The following is a 2,654-nucleotide window of genomic DNA, read 5'->3' as shown; positions in this document are numbered from 1 at the left end:
CCTCTGACTAACTGAATGGGCCCCTCTTCTCATCCAGGGCACTCTAAAGCAAACCTGAAACACTCTTCAGGCCATGATGGGAATGGGTGGTCAGACATGAACATGCCTTATTTTACCCTCCTCCCTTTGGAATTCGGAGAATGCTGACCAGTATTATCATTAAAACAGAGATTAAGACAGATAACAGACATTTTGTAACAATAAAACACCAAATTCTACCTTGACTTTAATATAGCATCAGATGACAGATAGCAGGCCCTGAAAGAAACAGAAGTATTTTACCCCAAAATATATTTCTTTGACATATTTTGAAATAGCCCTGTAAAGCTGTCTCTTATGGGGAAAATCTACATTCTATAGAGAATCTCCATACCTTTCCAGGTCTTTTCCCTGATCCAGGAGAGAATTAACTGAGTCTAGAGCTTTCTTTGTTGTTTTGTTTTTGTTTTTGTTGTTTTGAGATGGAGTCTTGCTCTGTTGCCCAGACTGGAGTGCAGTGGCGCAATCTGGGCTCACTGCAACCTCCAACTCCTGGGTTCACGCCATTCTCCTCCCTCAGCCTCCTGAGTAGCTGGGATTATAGGTGCCTGCTACCACGCCCAGCTAACTTTTTTGTATTTTTAGTAGAGATGGGGTTTCACCATATTAGCCAGGGTGGTCTTGATCTCCTGACCTTGTAATCTGCCTGCCTCAGCCTCCCAAAGTGCTGGGATTACAGGCATGAGCCACCGCGCCCAGCCGAGTCTAGAACATTTTTAAATCTGGTAAGAGCTCTGAAGCCTGGAGACTTCATATGCATGATAAAACCTTGGTCTCCACAACCCCTTATCTTAACCCAGGCATTCTTTTCTATTGATTCCAGCTCTTTAGAGGATAACTTTTTAAACCAATCACAAATCACAAAGTCTTTGAATCTGCCTATGACCAGGAAGCCCCCACTTCAAGTTGTGCCACCTTCCCGGACCAAACTAATGTACATCTTACATGTATTAATTGATGTCTTATGTCTCCCTAAAATGTATAAAACCAAGCTATAGCCTGTCTACCATGGGCACATGTTCTCAGGATTTTCGGGAACTGTGTCACAGGCCATGGTCATTCACTCATTTTTTTTAAAATCTCTTCCCTGTCCCACAAAAATAATGTCTTTATTAGATGTCATTTTGACTCTCAGGAACATTTATGTTCCCTCCCTGTCAATGTTCTGATTTATTAGGATTCCTTGTTAATGTGTCTTCACATAGGTTGGACTTTTTCTTTCATTTATTTTTTAATTAATTAATCAATTAATTATTTTGAGGCAAGGCCTCACTTACATCACCCAGGCTGGAGTGCAATGGAGTGATCACAGATCACTGCAGCCTTGACCTCCAGGGCTAAGGTGGTTCTCCCACCTCAGTCTCCTGAGTAGATGTGACTATAAGTACACGCCATTATGCCTGGCTAATTTTTGTACTGTTTTAGAGATGGGGTCTCACTATGTTGCCCAGGCTGGTCTTGAACTCCTGGTCCCAAGCAGTCCACCTACCTCATCTTCCCAAACTGTTGGGATTACAGGCATCAGCCACAGCATCTGACCTTTTATTTATTAATTTATTTTTTCTTTCAATTTGTGTTTTAGGTTTGGGGATACATATGCATGTTTGTTACATGGGTAAATTGTGTGTTGCTGGGGTTTGGTGTAAAAATGATTTTGTCACCCAGGTAATGAGCTACTACTCAATATGTAGTCTTTCCATCTTCATCCTCCTCCCATGACTCACCCTCAAGTAAATCCCAGTGTTGATTATTTCCCTCTTTTTGTCCACATTAGCTCTATGTTTAGCTCTCAATTATAAGTGAGAACATGTGGTATTTGATTTTCTGTTCCTGTCTAAATTCATTTATGATATTAGCCTCCAGCTCTATCCACATTGCTGCAAAAAAACATAATTTCATTCTTTTTTATGACTGCATAGTATGCCATGGTGTATATGTACCATATTTTCTTTATCCATGGGCAACATTTTAAGTGGATGTTTTTAAACTCTTTTACGTTGTTACTTTCCACCTATTCTCTTTTCTGCAAAGTTATCCACCCACTTACTCCCTGCCCCAGTAGCACACCAATAAAGCCTATGCCAAAAGTCTAGTAGATAACCTTGCTAAAATTGTTTGGGTGTTCTTTGCTTTCTAGTTAAGCTGAAGATGTGGAATTTATATTGTAGGTTATTTCCTTCTTGATTTGTGTAATTTATAGAAAATATAAATTTTCTATAAATTTGGGAAAATATCGTGCAAATATTTGGATTTAAATAGCCACCACACCAACTTTCCAGATGTTTAACCAAAACAAAACTTTTAAAAAAGGTTAAGTTTAAAATAAAAACTGGGTCTTGATCTCAAGTCCAGTTTGCTTTCTATTATAGCAATTAGAGTAGCATAATTTATCTTTCTGCTCCAATTGTTAGTCTACCTTATATATCCTTTGATGATGTAATTTTCAGAAAACCTACAAAATTTAGGAAGGTATGAAAAGTATGGAAGATTTAGATAAGTGCTTTTCAAACTCATTGCATCAAGGTGATAGATTATTTTCCCAATATTAGTGGAATAATACTTTTGTGAAAAAAAAAAGATTGTAAATCATTAGAAAAGTAAATGAAAAAGAGCTA

Source organism: Homo sapiens, chromosome 18 (assembly GCF_000001405.40).
Source record: "Homo sapiens chromosome 18, GRCh38.p14 Primary Assembly".
Taxonomy (NCBI): Eukaryota; Metazoa; Chordata; class Mammalia; order Primates; family Hominidae; genus Homo; species Homo sapiens.
Note: the sequence above shows the minus strand (reverse complement) of the source record.